Here is a 20,774-nt window from a genome sequence, read left to right on the forward strand (position 1 = left end):
TTGTGAAAGAGGAACTGATAGGACTTGCTACATATCTGATATCTAACTTCCTAAGAAAGAGAATCAGAGTAGTGAATCTGTCATTCAAATATTGATAGAACATTTCCTATTCCCAATACAGAGCATGATGCCATCTTATAGGCCACCGGTTTTCCTTGTGTCTAGTCAATAAATGAGTACTCTAGGATCTGGAGCTCAAATGAGTCATGGATCAAGCTGTAGCTCACATGGGACAAAGCAAATTAATTGATACAAAATGAAAAACTTTATATGGAGGCAGTTTATAGGTGTGATAGCTAGTCAGACTTTCTTAGATTCTTTTTTAATGATCATTTTTGTAATAACAATTGTTTTATTAAATGACAGAACTCAGATGAAGGTGTGTGCAAATAAGTTTTAATTACATTCAGATAAAACATGCATATTTCTAAGGAGGCCAAGTGTCTTTGTCCATTTCCTGCTGATGCAATGAAATGCTACAGACTGGGTAATTTATAAATAGTAGAAATTTATTTGGCATATGGTTCTGGAGGCTGGGAAGTTCAAAAGCATGGCACCAGCATCTGCTGAGGGTCAGTCTATGGCAGAAGGCATTACATGGAGAGTGAGCATGTGAGACACAGAGAAAATGGGAGCAAACTTATCCTTGTATAGGACCCACTCCTGAGATAACTAATCTACTCTCTAGATAATGGCATTAATAATAATCACCTCATAAAGGTCCCACCACTTAATACCATCACAAGGACAATTAAACTTCAGCATGCATTTTAGAGGATACATTCAAACCATAGCACCAAGGTTTAGTTGACTGGGTATATGTTTGACAGGCCTTAGGCTGTCCAGCTAATCTATAACTTTGTAAAGTGCACATAGTAGGTTGGTTCAAAAGGAAGAAGAAAATATTAAATGATTGTTGTTGGATTGTTATAAATCAAGTTGGGAAGAAACAACTGAGAATACACATTTTCTAATTTAGCTTGTCATATGCAAAAATTCACATATGTTCAAAGAAACCTTACAAATGATAATATCCCACCTTATAAATGATATCCCTATAAAATAACACCTGGAAAACATATTTTAATGTTTTCACTGAAAACTCACCAAATGTTTATTTTCAGTTTCCAAATCTTAAAGTACTAATCTATGGCCATTTATTATTTGTACAATTTGAATGTGAAGGCCAGCTACTTTTGCCTGAGGCCACATGGGCAGTGCATACAGTTGTGAGTGTGCAGAGATTCAGTATCTTGATTCATTGACCTATGAAGTAAGAAATCCTTGATTTTCTTTCTGTAAGTAGAGGCAAAGGGGAGAAAGAGAAAACACGAGAGCCAGAACAAAAATAATGTCTTTCGGAATTTCTTTTTCCCCATGGATTTCTAAATTCTCTGAAATGGATATCTTCCATGTGTTCTTAAAAAAGGATTTTTGTTAGCCAGAGAAACTTTCCATCAGCTTTCTTGCTTGCCAGCATTATTAAGACCTCCTGACATGATGTGTGTTAGCCCAATAAAAACAAACTCTACTTCTAAAAGTTTAGCTGTATGTAGAAAAGCAGCTTAAATCATATATTTATTTTGCTGCTTGTATTTTAACCTGACTTCTTTCCTTCCGTTTTCAAGAATTATTAAGATTTATTACTTGGAAACTATACTAAGCACTGAACTAAAAAAGAAATATTAACAAGTTGACCAAGAACTATGTACGAATTTCCTTCTAGGTTGAGCCACTGACTCACCTTCAGTCTTAAGTCATTTTGCCAATAAATAGGAAAATCAATTACATGTGGAAAGTTGTAGAGCTCAGATAATTTGACCAGCAATAGAGAAGCCAACAAAATGGATAATAGGACTATTTCCTTTCTCTTTGGTCTTCCCCTTTCCCTGTCCCCAAATGAATGTTTCAAGTTTCTTTTGTGGCAGTATCCATCTTGCAGTTTCTTTTCTTTTGCTCTTGCATGTGGCATTGCACTTCGTGTCAAGTTCTCATAGCATTTCCTTCTTCTCCTTCCCAAACTTGCTGAAATCTCAGTACACCAAGAAAACTCTTGAAAATGAATTGAAAAACATTTCCTGTCTTATTCAAGCCCCTTGGATGTGGTTCACACAGAGTGTGAATAAGATGATTTCATAGTACAATCCTAGGCTGTTCTAATCATAAAGGACGTCTCATTGTGTGACACACACATACCACAGAACCAGTAATTTCAGCATCATGGAAAATACTTTTACAGGTGGTGATTAGCCTCCAAGTTTTCTTTAATAGCAAAAGGTCAGAATGGCCTGTATAATTGTTTCCCTTCAAAGAAGTCAGAGGGATAGAGCAATAAGAGTATAGAAGTAGAAAAGAAGATGCTCTCCACTCCCTAAAGAACCCATTCCCAGGTAATAGATATCTGCAGCCAACTTATAGCTGATAATTCAATTAAAAGAGAGTGATTTCCTTATATGATACGAACAAAGGTAAAACAATTAGCGATATGGGCATACAGACTGTAATAAGTTTATATTTAAATTTGGACTTTAAGCTATCAGATAAAGACCAAAAATTCTCAATGAGTGTTGAAGACCTGGCATCAAGACATAGAAATTTGTAGGCAAAGGACAGATACTTTTGAAAAGAAGACACACACTCTGCCAACAAGCATATGAAAAAAAGCTCAACACAACTGATCATTAGAGAAATGCAAATCAAAACAACAGTCAGATACTATCATCTGCTTTTATACTGTTGGTAGAAGTGTAAATTAGTTCAACTTTTGTGTAAAGCTGTGTGGCAATTCTTCAAATAGCTAAGTCTCAGGATACAAAATCAATGTACAAAAATCACAAGTATTCTTATACACCAATAACAGACAAACAGAGAGCCAAATCATGAGTGAACTCCCATTCATAATTGCTTCAAAGAGAATAAAATACCTAAGAATCCAACTTACAAGGGATGTGAAGGACCTCTTCAAGGAGAACTATAAACCACTGCTCAATGAACAAATGGAAGAACATTCCATGCTCATGGGTAGGAAGAATCAATATCGTGAAAATGGCCATACTGCCAAAGGTAATTTATAGATTCAATGCCATCCCCATCAAGCTACCAATGACTTTCTTCACAGAATTGGAAAAAACTACTTTAAAGTTCATATGGAACCAAAAAAAGAGCCCGCATCGCCAAGTCAATCCTAAGCCAAAAGAACAAAGCTGGAGGCATCACGCTACCTGACTTCAAACTATACTACAAGGCTACAGTAACCAAAACAGCATGGTACTGGTACCAAAACAGAGATATAGACCAATGGAACAGAACAGAGCCCTGAGAAATAATGACACATATCTACAACTATCTGATCTTTGACAAACCTGACAAAAACAAGCAATGGGGAAAGGATTCCCTATTTAATAAATGGTGCTGGGAAAACTGGCTAGCCATATGTAGAAAGCTGAAACTGGATCCCTTCCTTACACCTTATACAAAAATTAATTCAAGATGGATTAAAGACTTAAGTGTTAGACCTACAACCATAAAAACCCTAGAAGAAAACTTAGGCAATACCATTCAGGACATAGGCATGGGCAAGGACTTCATGTCTAAAACACCAAAAGCAATGGCAACAAAAGCCAAAATTGACAAATGGGATCTAATTAAACTAAAGAGCTTCTGCACAGCAAAAGAAACTACCATCAGAATGAACAGGCAACCTACAGAATGGGAGAAAATTTTTGCAACCTACTCATCTGACAAAGGGCTAATATCCAGAATCTACAATGAACTCAAACAAATTTACAAGAAAAAACAACCCCATCAAAAAGTGGGCAAAGGATATGAATAGACACTTCTCAAAAGAAGACATTTATGCAGGCAAAAAACACATGAAAAAATGCTCATCATCACTGGCCATCAGATAAATGCAAATCAAAACCACAATGAGATACCATCTCACACCAGTTAGAATGGCGATCACTAAAAAGTCAGGAAACAACAGGTGCTGGAGGGGATGTGGAGAAATAGGAACACTTTTACACTGTTGGTGGGACTGTAACCTAGTTCAATCACTGTGGAAGTCAGTGTGGCGATTCCTCAGGGATCTAGAACTAGAAATACCATTTGACCCAGCCATCCCATTACTGGGTATATACCCAAAGGACTATAAATCATGCTGCTATAAAGACACATGCACACGTATGTTTATAGCGGCACTATTCACACTAGCAAAGACTTGGAACCAACCTAAATGTCCAACAACGATAGACTGGATTAAGAAAATGTGGCACATATATACCATGGGATACTATGCAGCCATAAAATATGATGAGTTCATGTCCTTTGTAGGGACATGGATGAAACTGGAAACCATCATTCTCAGCAAACTATCGCAAGGACAAAAAACCAAACACCGCATGCTGTCACTCATAGGTGGGAATTGAACAATGAGAACACATGGACACAGGAAGGGGAACATCACACACCGGGGACTGTTGTGGGGTGGGGAGAGGGGGGAGGGATAGCATTAGGCGACATACCTAATGCTAAATGACAAGTTAATGGGTGCAGCACACCAACATGGCACATGTATATATATGTAACAAACCTGCACGTTGTGCACATGTACCCTAAAACTTAAAGTGTAATAATAATAAAATAAAAAAATAAGAAAAGGTAAAGTGAAGTATAGGAATTGGAAGTGAGGTAACAGAAACAGTAAAAAAAAAAAAAAAGAAGCCTGTAATGTAATAATTATGGTGATATCAATGAAAATTGAAACTTTTACTAAAAGCAATGACAGCTATTCTTGTAATGATAGATGACTTTGGAAAGCCTATGAACTTCTAAAATATGTTTAAAAGCATTTGCTAAGGTCAGAAAAATTTTAATGCCACATTTTTTGGTAAGTTTTGTTTACATATTTACATTTGAAAAAATATGCATGAAACCTCTATTTTGGGTCAGACAATGTTCTACCCTCTAATGTTACATTTGATTAAAATGCATATGTTAACTGAAAGCTACTTCATTTATAAGATTGAATGTCAAGGTTTTTTTGTGAGTTATAGCTATGAAAAGTAATTTACCCAAAATGATGGTGTGTTTTTTCACCTTTAATGTCTATATCACTATTTTTAATTTATAATTTTCTTAAACAATTTTTATATTTATTTCACCATATAAATACAGACTTAATTTTCATTTTAAATTTCTCTTATTACATATTAAAAGCTAGTACCTAAAAAGAACTACTTTTCTCCTATATTGTTCCATGTATGCTGTGTCTTAATTACTTTACTCTTCTTTTACTTAAAATAAATTAGAGAACTCTGAATATGTGAAGAAATTTGCAGTAATGGGAAATAAGACATTCAAATTATGCTGGGCATATGAAATAAGCTTAATGAGAACCTAACAGTGCGGAAGTAGGAAAAATTTTAAGTACGCTCTTTATGGATCAAATAAACTACAAAGGGAAGGAAATATGAAGCGCTGAAAGGAAACTATAAAAAGCAAGGGCAGATAAAAATTATGAGCTTTAAGGGAGTGATTAAATAGAGCTTTAAGGGAGTGATTAAAATAGCATACAAAGGTCGAGAAGAATCCTTTTTAGGATAAAGATAGAAAAATATTAACAGTAATTCTTAAAATGGCAAAATATTCAGTTAAGCATTTAACTATCAACTGTGACAACTTGGAGTTATGTTAATTTATAGGGATTCGTTTATTTATCCACTTACCAAATATTTATTTTGTTTTTGTTTGTTTGGTTGGTTTTGTTTTTTGAGGTTTTTTTTTTTTTTTTTGAGATTAAGTTTCACTCTTGTTGCCCAGGCTGGAGTGCAATGGCGTGATCTCGGCTCACCACAACCTCCGCCTCCTGGGTTCAAGTGATTCTCCTGCCTCAGCCTCCCAAGTAGCTGGGATTACAGGCATGCGCCACCACACCCAGCTAATTTTGTATTTTTAGTAGAGACAGGGTTTCTCCATGTTGGTCAGGCTGGTCTCGAACTCCCGACCTCAGGAAGTGATCCTCCCGCCTCAGCCTCCCAAAGGCCTGGGATTACAGGCATGAGCCACCGTGCCTGGCACTAAATATTTATTTTGTTATTACTCTTTTATTTTCTATTTTGTTTCATTCATCCAACATATATTTCAGTCTTCAAAAATAATGCCAATTAAGTGTAACTTAATGTATAGAATTAACTAAAATCTAACATATAAAAACATAGAATGGTGTTATTATATCCTTTTCTTTTTTATGGACATTCATTAAGTAAAAACATCTCTTAAAGGAGAGAGTGGTTTTGTATCTTGGAGAATTCTTTCATAGAAAACACACACTTCCAAAATAAATACTTAGGCCCCTTTAAAGGATATTTTAAACATAGAAAAGGCAGAATATCAATGCAAAAGACTAATATATTTGGGCACATAAAAGTTAAACAAAAACCTTTTCTACATTAAAATATTTAAATTCATTATTGACAAGCTGAGTAAAAATGCTTTCCACAAATAAGTTAACTGATTGATTAATATTCTAATTTATAAAGAGCATCTATCCATTCATGCATCTATGTATCATCTATAGAAACCTCTACGAAATGCGTCTTATTCTGTTTTCTGTTGCTATAACTGAATATCTGAGACTGGGTAAGTTATAAAGAAAAAAAATATTTTTTACAATTCTGGAGACTGGGAAGTTCAAGGTTGAGGGGTGGCATCTGGTAAGGGCCTTTTTACAGGTAAGGACCCTCTGTAGAGTTTCAGGGTGGCACAGGACATCACATAGTGAGAAGGCAAGGCTGCCTGAAGCCTTTAGGGCCCAATGCCTGCACTGGTGAGCCCAGGATGCTGGAAATGGAGTCAAAGGAGATTATTCTCCAGCTGTAAGATTTAAAGTAGTTTTCCCTGTTGGGGTTTAGACTTACTTGGGACTTGATACTACTTTCTTCTTCTCCTCTTCTTCTTCTCCCCCTCCCCCTCCCCTCTCTTCCTCCTCCTCTGCCTCCTCCTCCTTCTTTCCTCCTCCTCCTCCTCTTCTTCCCCCTCTTCTTCTTCTTCCTCCTCCTCTTCTTCTCCTTCTCTTCTTCTTCTTCTTCTTCTTCTTCTTCTTCTTCTTCTTCTTCTTCTTCTTCTTCTTCCCCTCCTCCTCCTCCCCCTCCTCCTCCTCCTCCTCCTCCTTCTCCTTCTTCTCCCTTTTCTTCTCTTTCTTCATCTTCTTTTTTTTTTGTTGGGGGGATGGCTATTTCTCCCTGAAGGAATGGGAATGCTTGTTCTATTCCTGTCTCACAATTGTATTTTTGGAAGTAGATAACTTGTTTAATTTCAAAGGTTCATAACCGAAGGAGAATTTACTTCAAGATGAATTGTCACTTGAGTATCACCCATATCTGATGCAGATGAAACTCTGGACTTTGAACTTTTGAGTTGGTGCTGAAGTGAATTAAGACTTTGGGGATGTGAGGGTAGAATGAATCTACTTGTATGGGAGAAGAATATGAGTTTTGGGGGGCCAGGAGCAAAGTGTTATAGTGTGAATATTTGTCTCCTTTGAAACTTATGTTGAAACTTAATCCCCAGTGTAACAGTATTAAGAGGTGGGCCTTTTAAAAGTGATTGGGTCATGAGGGTTCTGCCCTCATGAATGGATAAATAGGTTAATGAATTAATAGGTTATCATGGGAGAGGGTTAGTTATCACAAGAGTGATTATGTTATAAAAGCCAGATTAGCATGCTCTAGCCCCCTCATCATGAAGCATCCTGCATCGAATAAATGGTCAAGAACAAGTATAAACAATTCAGAAAATAAATAGACATGTCTGTTATAGACTGAATGTTCATGTTCCCTCACATTCAAAGATTTAAACCTAATCCCCAGTGTGATGAGGAGGTGGGGCCTTTGGGAGTTAATTAGGTTAACTAGGTAATGAAACCCTTATTAATGGGATCAGTGACCTTGTAAGAAGAGACACAAGAGAGATGATCTCTCTCTCTCACTGTGGGAGGATACAGCAAGATGTTGGCCATCAGCAAACCAGGAAGAGAGTCGTCACCAGTAACTGAAGCGCTGGCACCTTGCTCTTGGACATCTGTCTCCAGAATGTTAGGAAATACATTTCTATTGTTTTAACCACCCAGTCTATGTTATATTTGTTACAGCCACCCAAACTGATTAAGATGCTAAAATGTTTTAAAATTTCTTTGAAACAACTTTCCCATGAAACTATTTAGTAATGGACATAAAGAAGTTTTAAAATGTCTATACTGTTTGCCGGGCGCGGTGGCTCACGCCTGTAATCCCAACACTTTGGGAGGCCGAGGCGGGTGGATCATGAGGTCAGGAGATCAAGACCATCCTGGCTAACACAGTGAAACCCCGTCTCTACTAAAAATACAAAAAATTAGCCGGGCGTGGTGGTGGGTGCCTGTAGTCCCAGCTACTCAGGAGGCTGAGGCAGGAGAATGGCGTGAACCCAGGAGGCGGAGCTTACAGTGAATCGAGATCACACCACTGCACTCCAGCCCGGGCAACAGAGTGAGACTCCATCTCAAAAAAAAATAAAAAATAAAAAATAAATAAATAAAAAATTAAAAAATTAAAAATAAAAATAAAATAAATAAAAAATAAAAATAAAAATGTTTATACTGTTTTACTATGTATGCCAGGAGGCAAGTACAAGAGCAGGCTTTTTTTCATATATTTTGTAAATAAATAAACAGAGATGTGAAGTTTTCCGAACTTTCAGCTATCACTGAAAGTCTCATACAAAGAAATACAAATATTTATGTACAAAGACCCTATCACGGTGTTTTCAATAGTAAGAAACTATAAATAATCTAAATCTCTAATGAAAATTAATAAATAGAATAGTTACATAAAATGAAGTAAATATGTAAATAAAATATAATGTAAATACTAAAAATAAAGATTTTAAATTTTTTATAGAAAATACCAAACATACAAAAGTATGGAGAATAAACATATAAAGATCTCACATGTAGTCATCATTCAGCTTGAACAGATATCAACTAAACACTAGCTTATTTTTATTATTCGCTTATCCATTGGCCTCCCCCTGCTTCCACCTTGATTATTTTGAAGGAAATCTCAAGCATCGTATTACTTCACCATAAATATGAATGTAAAGTTTTTGAAGTATTTATGATAAAAGCAGAACATTTTTTATAATATAACAAGAGAAAAAGCAAATTATAAAATGGCATATGAAATAGTATTTCAATTACTTTTAATGTGTGTGTGTGTGTGTGTGTGTGTGTGTGTGTGTGTGTGTGTATGTAGTGGAAAAACAAATTTGTGGTAATAGACCAAAATTTTAAGATGGATTTATCAGACAGTTGAGAATTTATATTTGTTTGTATTTTTTCCAGTTTTTAATAATGAATATGCATTTTATGATTAACCCCAAATATTACTATAAAAATAAGTGGGTATGTAAATTTGATATGGTTTAAATGTATCCTGGAAAAGCTTATTTGTTAGAGGCTTGATCCCCACTGCGGCAGGGTTGAGAGGTGGAATATTTGGGAGGTGATTGGGTTATTGGGACTCTGCCCTCATGAATTTATTCATCCATTCATGGATTACTATATTAATGGGTTGATAGGTTAATGGGTTAATAGGTTAATGGGTTATAACAGGAGTGGGTGAGTTATGAGAGTGAGTCTGTTGTATAGTCAGTTTGGCTGTCTCTCTAAGTTCCCTCACCATGGGATGCATTGTGCCATCTCAGGACTCTCCAGAGAGTCGCCACTGGCAGAAGATTCTCCAGAGACAGTCATGTGACATTGGAACTCTCAGCCTCCAGAACTGTAAGAAATAAATTTCTTTTCTTTATAAATTATCCAATCTCTGGCATTCAGTTATAGCAGCAGCAAACAAGCTAAGACAAAATTATACTTTAATAAAACTGTTAAAAATAAAATAAGTGGTTATCTTTTAGGTAATGCCATTCAATGAAGTTATAAATATGAGGAAATATTGTTAAAAGAGGAAGTGAGTTAAAAAATGTATAACTTTAGCTGTCATTTAAAAAGTGAATAAAAAATACTTTGTGTTTTTATAAATTAGCTCATGCTTCCTCCTTTTGGGGGATAACAGAATCTAAGGTAAATAACACAAAATCAGCTTCCCCATTATAGATAAACTGTTCTTCAAAACTGGGGAATATATATATAAATTCATTTTAAGGCTACTATTGGCCCTTAATGCCATCAAAGACCACTAGATAAACATATTGATCAAGTAAAGCTCAGTTAATTAGACTTACTACACTAAAGGAGAACATCAACATGTTTGAGATTGTCAATAAATTCTCTAAAGAAGGAAGTTACAGGAAGAAAAATATACAGGGCATTGGGTGGTTTTAAGGCAGATTTTGCAAGATGGAGCTGTTTGGGATTGGTCAGGGTTTGGAGCATAATAACTTTGGTTTGGTGGGCATGGCAAGGAAAGGGTCCAGAAATACGCTATTAGTCTTAAACACTAAGCTATTTTTGTTGTTTCATAGTTTTATCTTCTAGAGCATGTATTTACTGCAGCAAGTAGCTAAGTGACTTTTGCCTAGCTCCAGTTTTGTGTAGCACAGAAACAGGAAAATATCTTTGGTCCTTGAACTTTCTATCCCAGGAGCAGTAAAGTAAATTGGGTTCATTTCTTATTTTAAGAAGTTCAAAACGAATCCAAGGACAACACAATTGTGCTCCTCTAGTTTTTTTGTTCCATAAAACATTATAGTCTATCTCCTTTTAATTTTGTTTTAAAAATTTTATTAATAAAGACAGGGTATTTTTATGTTGCCCAAGCTGGTCTTGAACTCCTGGCCTCAAGTGATGCTCCCACCTTAGCCTCCTAAAGTGCTGAGATTACAGGTATAAGCCACCATGCCCAGACTCTATTTCCTTTTTTAATAGTCAAACTCCCATCATTTTATTCACTTAATCAATTGATCTCTTATGTTTGCAGCATTGTGCCAGGTGACAGGTACAAAAAGTTGAATGAGCATGATCTTGGATAAGACAAGCATGCAAAGAAATACGCGCAAGAATTTGTAAGATGCTGTTGAAATATTATGCAGAGGGTACATAAAGCACAAGGAGGAAATAGTGAATTCTATTAGGATATGGGGTGGTTGGACAAGATTTTATACAGAAGCTAACCCTTGATCTGAGTTTCAAAGAATAAGGAGAAAGGGAAGGAGAGAACAGAATGGAATTGTAAATTAAAAAAAAACAAGTGTGAACGTTTGGGAAACTGCTAGCTAATCAGAACTACAATTTAAAAAATCTATAAGTATTACTTAGGAATATTTCACTCTTGCTTATGTTATGTTTTCTTTTCAGAATGTAGGTCTTATTTCTCTAATTAAACCGAAAGGATCTTGTGTATATAAAATGTCTTTTTATATACCTCATGTCACTTAGATCTGTGTCTACAGAATGTGGAAAAAATACTTTGATTGGTAAATGATAACTGAGAAGAGTAGGAGAAAAAATATTGTGATCTGGACTACTTATTTTAACCAGTTTAACAAATGACTGTTATTTATGAAAGATTTTCACTGGACAGAATATACTTAGGTGATTCCCACAGGAGTTCAATCAAGTATTTTCTCGTCAACTCTACAATTTATAATTGTTTCCAACATTCAGGGTCAGATTATTAATAACATTATTATTAATAACCAAACTCATAACAAGAGTACTTGCCTGATATTGATGCTCAGTAATTTTGTGTAAAAGAAATGGATGCGTATGCAAATCACATTCATATTACCAAGGGTGAAGAGAAGTCAGCTAGGCATTTTGGGGAAAGCTTTATTTTTTACATTAATAAAACAGAACTCTGTGAGCTTTCCTCTCCTTCTTTCCAGTTTGTGATTCTGGTTTGTGATTTATAATGATAAATCTTATCCAAGAGCAAGGTAGGCTTTCCTTTTGAGCAAGTATGTTTCTGTCTTTCAGAAGCATTCTAAAACATTTCTTCACTTTCTTGCTAATTATTCTGTAGTTATACTACCTTTGCCTAGAAATACTACATATGATCTCTTATATAATGTTTGAAAAATGGTTATTGCTTTTATTGAAGCATGTTTATGTTTATACCAGATCTCTTATAGTTTGTAGTGGTTTTGACTTTGAGTCTCTTTTACTTGAGTGTCTTGTTTTTTCAATCTCTACAATCCTATCATTTGAAAATAATGTTAATTTTGCTTCTTTTTCTGCAAGTTCGGTAACATACTTTTCTTTCTTTCTCTTATCCTTCCCCCACCCCTCCTCCTTCCCATCTTTCTTCTTCTCCTCCTTTCTCCTTCACTGCCTTTCTCCCCTTCTGTTTTTGTCTTAGAGTGTTAAAGTTAATTAGAAGCTGTTTATCATCTGTATCACCTGTATTCTTAAGCTTGATGCTAGATCTTTTAGTTATAAATGTATTTATAAATAACCAGAAAATGTCCATCTTTTGCTATTTTATGAATGATTTTAATCCATAATGATTATTAACTTTTACCAAATGCTGTTTCAGCAACTACAGCAGTTATGTATCAATATGGGTTCAGGCCTTATGCTGGTCTCTCCATGCTCTAAGGAAGAGAAACAACTCTAGTTTTAACTCTGTGTGAATGAGTAGATCTATTTCAAATTGGGGGTAGGGGGATATTTAGAAATAGCATTGCTAGTCATAGGTTAGAAATTTACTTCTGACACATTTTATTTATTTGGATAATATCCTTTACTATGCTTTTTGAATAGAAGGCTTAATTCAATTTAATTTCCTTTGTGGGATGTGGGGATGTTACTGTAAGATATCTGACTTGGAAGAGTAGTAATAGAATCATCGTATCCAACAGATATAGGCACTTTAGCATTGGTTTCTTCTATAACACAAAGGAGTTAGACAAAACAATCCCCAAAGCTCCTTTAGTCCTAACATTCTGTGATGCTCCCGTGATAATTTAATTCAATTACCTCCTTTCACAGAGAAGGAAACTGAGTCCCAGAGAATAAACATTGGTCAAGACTATACATGGTACTTAACTGGCAGCATAAACAAACTGGAAGGCACAATGCTAAATTCACAGCTCGTTTCGTTGTTTCTTAGAGTGTGTTTCAGAGCCAGCCACTTAACTGAAGACAGGAATTCCAAAATATTTATCTACCAAAGAGTTGGCTCAACTTTTCACCATAGCATGACTGAGTGAACATATTTGAGTTATCAGTTCTCCTATTTCATGACACAGGTATGCTACAATTTACAATTTTAATTTTTTTATTTAGGAAATTATAGATAAATAAGTAAATGTAGATCTTACTATTATTTCAAAATGTTCACATAAAAATCTGTGGAACTTGATTACTCTATTGCCAAATTAATAGACAACTAAATCTTAAATTAATTCCTAAGTTTACTATTCATTTCAATGGCGCATATAATATGTTCTTTTTATATCTGTAGACTAGATAACTTGTTTTCATAAAATCAAACCATAGGAAAGTCAAGATTTCCTTTTCCCATCTTCTCTTTATGGCACAGTCAAGGAAGCATATCTATCTTTGATATATTTGCAAACATTTTGTGTTCAATATGGTCCAACATTTTCCTAAATTTAAAGTTAAGTATAACATAGTGCCAAAGCATACATCTTTATTATCAGTAAATATATGTCAATAAATATTATCAATATTTGGCAATAATAACATTGTATTTATATTTTTCAAATTGATTTTACTTTACCATTTTACTGTCACAGTATATTCTTTCCTTAGAAAGGGTGAAAGGGCTTTATAGCCTGGGAAACTGAGGCACAGAACTTTGGAGTCACTTTCCATCCCACACGTTTTGTTGTTGCTGTTGCTTTTTTTTTTTTTTTTTTTTTTGAGACGGAGTCTTGCTCTGTCACCAGGCTGGAGTGCAGTGGCGCGATCTTGGCTCACTGCAAGCTCCGCCTCCCGGGTTCAGGCCATTCTCCTGCCTCAGCCTCCCGAGTAGCTGGGACTACAGGCGCCCGCCACCACGCCCGGCTAATTTTTTGTATTTTTAGTAGAGACGGGGTTTCACCGTGTTAGCCAGGATGGTCTCCATCTCCTGACCTCGTGATCCACCCGCCTTGGCCTCCAAAAGTGCTGGGATGCTGGTATTACAGGTGTGAGCCACCGCGCCTGGCCACACTTTTTTTTTTTTTAATGCAAGTAGAGAAACAGCTCTCTAGTAATAGTAACACACACACACACACACACACACACACACACACACTCAAAACCCCACTCGTCTTGGTTCTTAGCTTGGTGCTTCTTTCCTTTAGCCTCAGTGCAGAAAGCGCCATGTATTTGAATATTCAAGTCATTCACCTTTTGTAACTGCTTGAGAGACAATACTAATGAAAAAATATGTTTCACGAGCCATGTTTTCACTCCTGAAACATTCAGTGTCATTTATTGCTTTCCAAGTGTGTGGTTTGAAGACACACACATATTTTCTTTAAAAATCTGTAGCTTTGCTGAAAATAAATCTGGCTCATAAAAATAAAGAAAAAACTATTATTTCTTGGCAGCTCTGAATGTATGGCTTTAATTTCAATAAGAGTACTATCTTAGATTATTTATTTATTGATTATCTTGGTCGTTTAGTAAGAATTTTCTGAGCACCTGTATCTGCCTATTTTAGGTGAAGGGGATATGGCAGGAAAACAATTTCTGTTTTCATGGAGTTTACATTTTAGTTGAAGAAGATAGGCGATATATAAATAAAATAGTAGAATATATAGTTTGTCACCTGGTAATAAGTGCTTTGGAGAAAAGCAAATAGGAAAGGAAGGTAGAAAATTGTTAGGAGGAGAGTTAACAGCTTTAAAAAGGGTTGTGGGGAAGGCCTCATTGGGAAGGTGATTTCAGAAAAGACTTGGAGAATGTGAGGAAGCTAGCTCTTCAGATTTCTTCAGAGGGTTCTGTTCAGTTGAACAAAGCAGCAACAACATAAATGTTTCTCTAAACCTTCAGGCTGATTCACTTTGACAGATACGCCTTTCAGATGATTACCAAACCATTTGAAACTAATTTCCTTCTCTCCCAGAAAATTCCCCAAGTGACTGAGAGCTTATATTTTCCTGGAACTGAAGACGTGAATAAGGATTGATGTAATTTTCATCTGTAATATTTCCAGAGAGGAATTGGGCACATCTTGACATTTAGGGAACAGTAGTTAGTAGTAAATGTTTCTCCAGAGTTTTTAGACTCCATCGTCACTATTTATTATAGATTGGAAATTCATTTTGGTGGTCTGCTGGTCCAAGACAGTGAATCACAACCCAAATATCAGCCCCTCCCCATCAAAAGAAGAGATTATTCTGTTTCTGGTGTCTAAGGATTATTAAATATTTGAGATGAATTTATATTAATATGTTACCTTAAATACAAACAATCAACAAAAGATTAAGCTGTCTGTTTTGTGATCTTATTTATTTCTTCAAGAAACAATGAAAACTTCTCATTTGGTTTTGGAACTTACTATTTGGAACTTTATGATACAGGATATTGTATGTTAGCCTGAGTCCACCTCCCCCCTTGAAAAAGGATAGTCAAATAATAAACTTTGCCAACTCTGAGGCTCTGTGTATTCCTGTTCCTGCTCTGAGTGTCCAGGAAGAACAGCAGACTCCTAAGAACATTAATGAAAACAACAACAACAACAACAGCAACACGTGAAGGTTACATTCACAGAGAGATCTGCCATAACCAGCACAGCAGCTGGTTGAAAGCTACAGAAGAGACTGAACTGATTCAATGCATGTCAAGAGTTTTTTGTTTGTTTGTTTGTTTTATTTTAAGTTCTGGGATACATGTGCAGATGTGCAGGATGTGCAGGTTTGTTACATCGGTAAACATGTGCCATGGTTTGATAGGTGGTTTGCTGCACCTATCAACCCATCACCTAGGTATTAAGCCCAGTGTGCATTAGCTATTTTTCTTGATGTTCTCCCAACCCTCACCCCCTGACTGGCCCCAGTCTGTGTTGTTCCCCTCCCTGTGTCCATGTGTTCTTATTGTTCAGCTCCCACTTATAAGTGAGAACGCAGTATTTAGTTTTATGTTCCTGCAACCCAAAGGAATATATATCCTTCTATTATAAAGATACATGAACCTGTATGTTCATTGCAGCACTATTCACAATAGCAAAGAGTTTTTAACTATGAGTTCCTTTAAACTTCTTTATCAAATAATTAGCATTGGAAAATATCATCATCTAGAAGTTTCTGCGGATGTCTACTCACAGTAGACTGTGTCTTCGTAAATGGATGGGCCACCTCAAAGATTTTGGTAAGAGTGGGCATAAATGGGCATGTAAGTGATCACATTTTTTACTTCACTGGCAAATAAAAATGGGGTTACTTATTTGCCTCCTATGGAAATTTAAGATTCTACTAATTTGTATGCTTTCTCTTAATTATTTACTACTTTTCAATAGGAGTGAAGTACCTGGAGTCACAGGCCTAGCTTTGGTTTCTTTGGGACAGCTTTTCAAAAATGGTGTTAATCACTTAAAAATATGTCTAAGCTCTTACAGTGCTAGGCATTGTAGGAAAAATACAGCAAGTCATTTATTGGTCATAAAGACCTTACAGTGAAATGGTGAGTGGAGAAGGGAAGAAGTTTGCAGACTTCCTTCTAAATAAGACTCAGACAGAAAGCAATGGAAGTTCAATGGAAAGGAAGGTTGCAGTGACATTAGTTTTTTATTTTTTCTTATTTTGCAGTGACATTGATTTGAAAAAGACATTTGGGAAATATGTAGAATGTGCCTGGGTTTGCACTTTGCTTCTGGAATTCACTAACGATGTGATTTAAGGCAAATTTCTCTCACTGGAGTGCAGTGGTATGATCATGACTCCCTGAAGCCTCAAACTCTTGGGCTCAAGCAATCCTCCCTACTCAGCCTCTCAAGTAGATGGGACTTACAGGCACACCATCATGCCTGGCTAATTTTTTAAATTTATTTTTTGTAGAGGGTCTCACTGTGTTGCCTGGGCTAGTCTCAAACTCCTGGCCTCAAACTCCTGGCCTCAAGCTATCCTTCTGCCTTGGCTTCCCCAAATGCTGGGATTACAGGCATAAGCCATCACACCCAATCTAAGGTGAGTTTCTTAACCGATCTGAGCCTCATCATTTCTTCATCTGTAAAGCAAGCACAGTCTTTCCTAATGTGCATTGAGGTTACAGGTAATCAAGAGTGCATGCTAAGCACTTGGCATTTTGTCTGGGACAAGGTAGGTGATATTGTCATTATTAAGAAAGATCAGGAAGGGCACCCCACAAGCTTGAGGTCAGAATGCCTAGCAATTGGAATTACTCAACATCTGAGTTAAGGCTGGGCTCTAACACTAGTTAGCTGGGCACCAAGGAAAACTCAGCGTAGGATGGATATTGTGTGCTGATGAAATGCTACATGGGGTGGTGATATTTACTGCCCCAGGTTCGTCATGGTGTGGAGAAGGTAAGGTGTGATCCTAAATATGAAGCCCCTTTAAAAGGCAATTATCAGCCATACAAATCAGGAACACTAGCATATAGAGAGCAATTTGAAATTTGTATTTGGCAGGTGTGTCTTGGAGAATCTCTAGGGAAAATATGTCCTCTTAAAAACCTTAGAGGATCTGTGAAAAATGTACCTTGCTGCCCCATCTGAAGGCTTCCATACCTCCTCTTCTTTCCTCAAACCCTCAGATGGGACATGGATTGCTTCCTTCTGTCTCTTCATTACCGGGGATAGTATTAATTCTTTGGTGTTCTTTATTATCCTTATTTTTATTATTATGTGAGAAATTTATTAGTAAAATTTTCAGTAAGTAGGATTACAAGCTAGTCTACCTGTGGATAGAATTGCAGCATATATAATACAATGAGAGAGTAGGGAGGGGAGATAAGGAAGCAAGGAAGAGAGAAAGGGAGAGAGTGATTTGTTTAAATTTTTAAATTATTTTATTTTATTTTATTTTGAGACAAGATCTCGTGTCTCCCAGGCTGGAGTACAGTGCTGTAATCGGCTCACTGCAGCCTCGACCTGCTGAACTCTAGCAATCCTCCCACGTCAGCCTCCCTAGTAGCTGGTACTACAGGTACATGCCACCACTCCCGCTAATTTTTTGTTTTTTTTGTAGAGACAGGATCCCACTATGTTGCCCAGGCTGGTCTTGAACTCCTGGGCTCAAGCAGTCCTCCCGCCTTAGCCTTCCAAAGGTTGGCATCAGACACCACAATTCAAGAAAATGAAATAAATTAACAAAATTATTAGGCTAAACCGTGATTTTTTTTCAGACACTGAATTTAAGTTTCTAGGTGTGTGCATTAGTAAGATCTAAAAACATTTCTCTTTTATAGGAAAAGAATTGAAAACTTTGAGAAAAAGATAAAGTGCCCAAATCAAAGCATGCAGAGCTAACAAATGGTAGAGCCGGCAATTGAACATAGGTCTCTCCATAGGCAAAGCCTATGTATGCCCTTTCCAGGGCACCAGGCTGCCTCCCTTAGCCTTGGCACTTGACTTTGATACTGGATACTCTTTTTAAAGACGATGTTATGTAAGTATACAAGGGTTACTTGTTTATTGCTTTTTAATTCACTCTCTACCCAGTATTTAACTGAAACTCTGACTTTCAAGGAAGTGTTATCTGTTATTAACAGACGTCAGGGTATAACAAAAATAAATTATTTTTATTTAGTAGTTTAGGTAACTTCCTGCCTTCAACATTTAATGCTTTGTTCAAACTTCTATGTAGAGAAGAATCTAGTTCATAGATATTTTTCATAATGATCATTCAAAGAAGTGGTGTTCACAAATCGGTGGTTATCTCAATTAGCTACCATCTTCCTCCTTTATGAGCATTTCCCTTCTCCTTTCAGACAGAAATAATATCTCTCTCCTTGGTGCTCCAACAGCGCTCTGTGCCTCTTCAATGGCAAAGCTGCATTTGCTTTGTCTTCTTCCTTGGCGGCTATAGTTTTGATCTAGACTGTAAATTCCCCACTAGACCATAAGTTCCTGTATCCTTCATTTGTAATATCTTAACAATATTCCAAGTATTTATTAGCCTAATTAAATTTTATGTGCCGTATTTTTAAACCGTTTCAGAGGAATTAATTTTAACAATGACTGGGTTATTTTGGTCAGATAATTCGTGAATAATAAGGAACATTAAAGCACTAACTAGTCCTGGTAATGGAGAGGCAGAAGGAAAGAATTTGGTGCTGGACCTAATGGCTGGAAGAAAGGATGAGCTGTGGAAAGGTTTTAGAAAGGGCTGCATAGTACATTTTCAGGTTTTTATTTGCTAACTCTTTTTCAGCTATTAGGTTGGTGCAAAAGTAATCGCGGTTTTTGCCATTGAAAGTAATGGCAAAAACCGCGATTACTTTTCTGTTAACATAATATTACAAATATGAAAGTGTGGATAATCAAAATAGAGCTATAAACAATTTGATAGAAATTAATTTCTGAATCATACCTTCCTTCTCTGCTGCGGATACATAACAGTTGGTAGAATTTATTTCTGTGGGAAAACTTGTACCTATGTTCAGCCTGTGACATGAAAATCTCAGGTACTGCATCAGCAATGCATCATCATCTTTTTCTTTCTCCCATTTTTATTGCTTTTGTGATCCTGTCCTGAATTACTGGCAATGCCTCGAACAACTTTAAGTCTCTTGCCGTAACTTGGACTTACGTGCTACAGTTAATAAAAAAGTCTTTAAAGAGCATTAAGGTCTTAAATAGCAAAAGCATTTTGATATTTCAGGACTATTGCTAACCAGGGGAATCAAAGAACATATGGCAAAAAGCTGTGCTTTTTCACATTCTGAGTAGGACGGGGCAGGGGAAATTGTGAAGAAAATGAGATAGGCCTGAAGACGTCCTGTGATTCCCTCCCTCCTGGCAGCCCAAGTGGGCCCTGGAACTCCCAGTTACTCCCCAACCCCCACCCTCACAACAGCATCCTCCCCAATGTCTTTTGGTCTTAGAAATAGATCTGACAAATATTTCCACTCTGAGGTATCCATGTTAAGGTCATGATGTATAAACACGATGAGGGAGTGAAAAGTAAACAAGCAAAGCTACAGAAGTTTTAAACCAACAAATGAGCATCTAATTGTGGAATGTGGGGCACTAAGAAGCTGGTTGAGGGAGAATTTGGAGAGTGTCAGTTCTTCCTATAAAAGGTTACCCTAATCCTAGAGGATAATATTCTGATCTTCTCTGAAGAAAGTATACAACTTACAAGAAAATTCAGAGGGCATCAACTCCACCTGGAAGAAAATCCAGCTGTTTTTAAGTTCTGATGTTTTGTTTTGATTTATCATTTTTTCCTTGCCAGTGATTTATAGTTGTAGAATGTTTAGAATTGGGTTAATGGGTACAAAAATTCAGTTAGATAGAAGGAATACGTTCTAGTATTTAATAGTACAGAAGGGAAATTATAGTTAATAATAACTTATTTATATTTCAAAATAGCTAAAAGAGAAGAAGTGTAATGTTCCCAACACAAAGAAAAGATAAAAGATAAATGTTTGAGATGACAGATATCCAATTACCATGATTTAATCATTGCATGTTGTATACATGTATCAAAATATAACATGTAACTCCAAATACATACAAGTATGATATATCAATTAAAGAAATCCAAGAAAGGGGTGTCTCCATTTTTAGGACAGTTCAAACCAAAATGTTCTTCAGCTGAAGTTGTCTGCTGTGGTGGGGCTTGGGGAGAGACTAGACTGC

The 20,774-nt window shown here is 36.3% G+C and overlaps 1 protein-coding gene and 2 long non-coding RNA genes across 3 annotated transcripts in view; 2 read left to right on the plus strand and 1 right to left on the minus strand.

The window, feature by feature from the left end:
• IGSF10 (immunoglobulin superfamily member 10) overlaps window positions 1–9,736 on the minus strand; it is a 187,494-nt gene extending 177,758 nt beyond the window's left edge. Inside the window, exon 1 of the mRNA XM_011512709.3 lies at window positions 9,717–9,736. The gene's annotated coding sequence lies outside the window, so the exon portion shown is untranslated. The remainder of the gene's footprint in view (window positions 1–9,716) is intronic.
• Window positions 1–20,774, plus strand: part of LINC02066 (long intergenic non-protein coding RNA 2066) — a 105,814-nt gene that overhangs the window by 58,033 nt on the left and 27,007 nt on the right. The window lies entirely within an intron of this gene.
• LOC105374157 (uncharacterized) lies at window positions 9,740–15,424 on the plus strand. The gene is made up of 3 exons (XR_924581.3): window positions 9,740–9,820; window positions 13,107–13,245; window positions 15,075–15,424. It is a non-coding gene; the product is annotated as an uncharacterized LOC105374157 (long non-coding RNA).

The sequence above is a fragment of the Homo sapiens genome, chromosome 3 (assembly GCF_000001405.40).
Source record: "Homo sapiens chromosome 3, GRCh38.p14 Primary Assembly".
Classification (NCBI taxonomy): domain Eukaryota; kingdom Metazoa; phylum Chordata; class Mammalia; order Primates; family Hominidae; genus Homo; species Homo sapiens.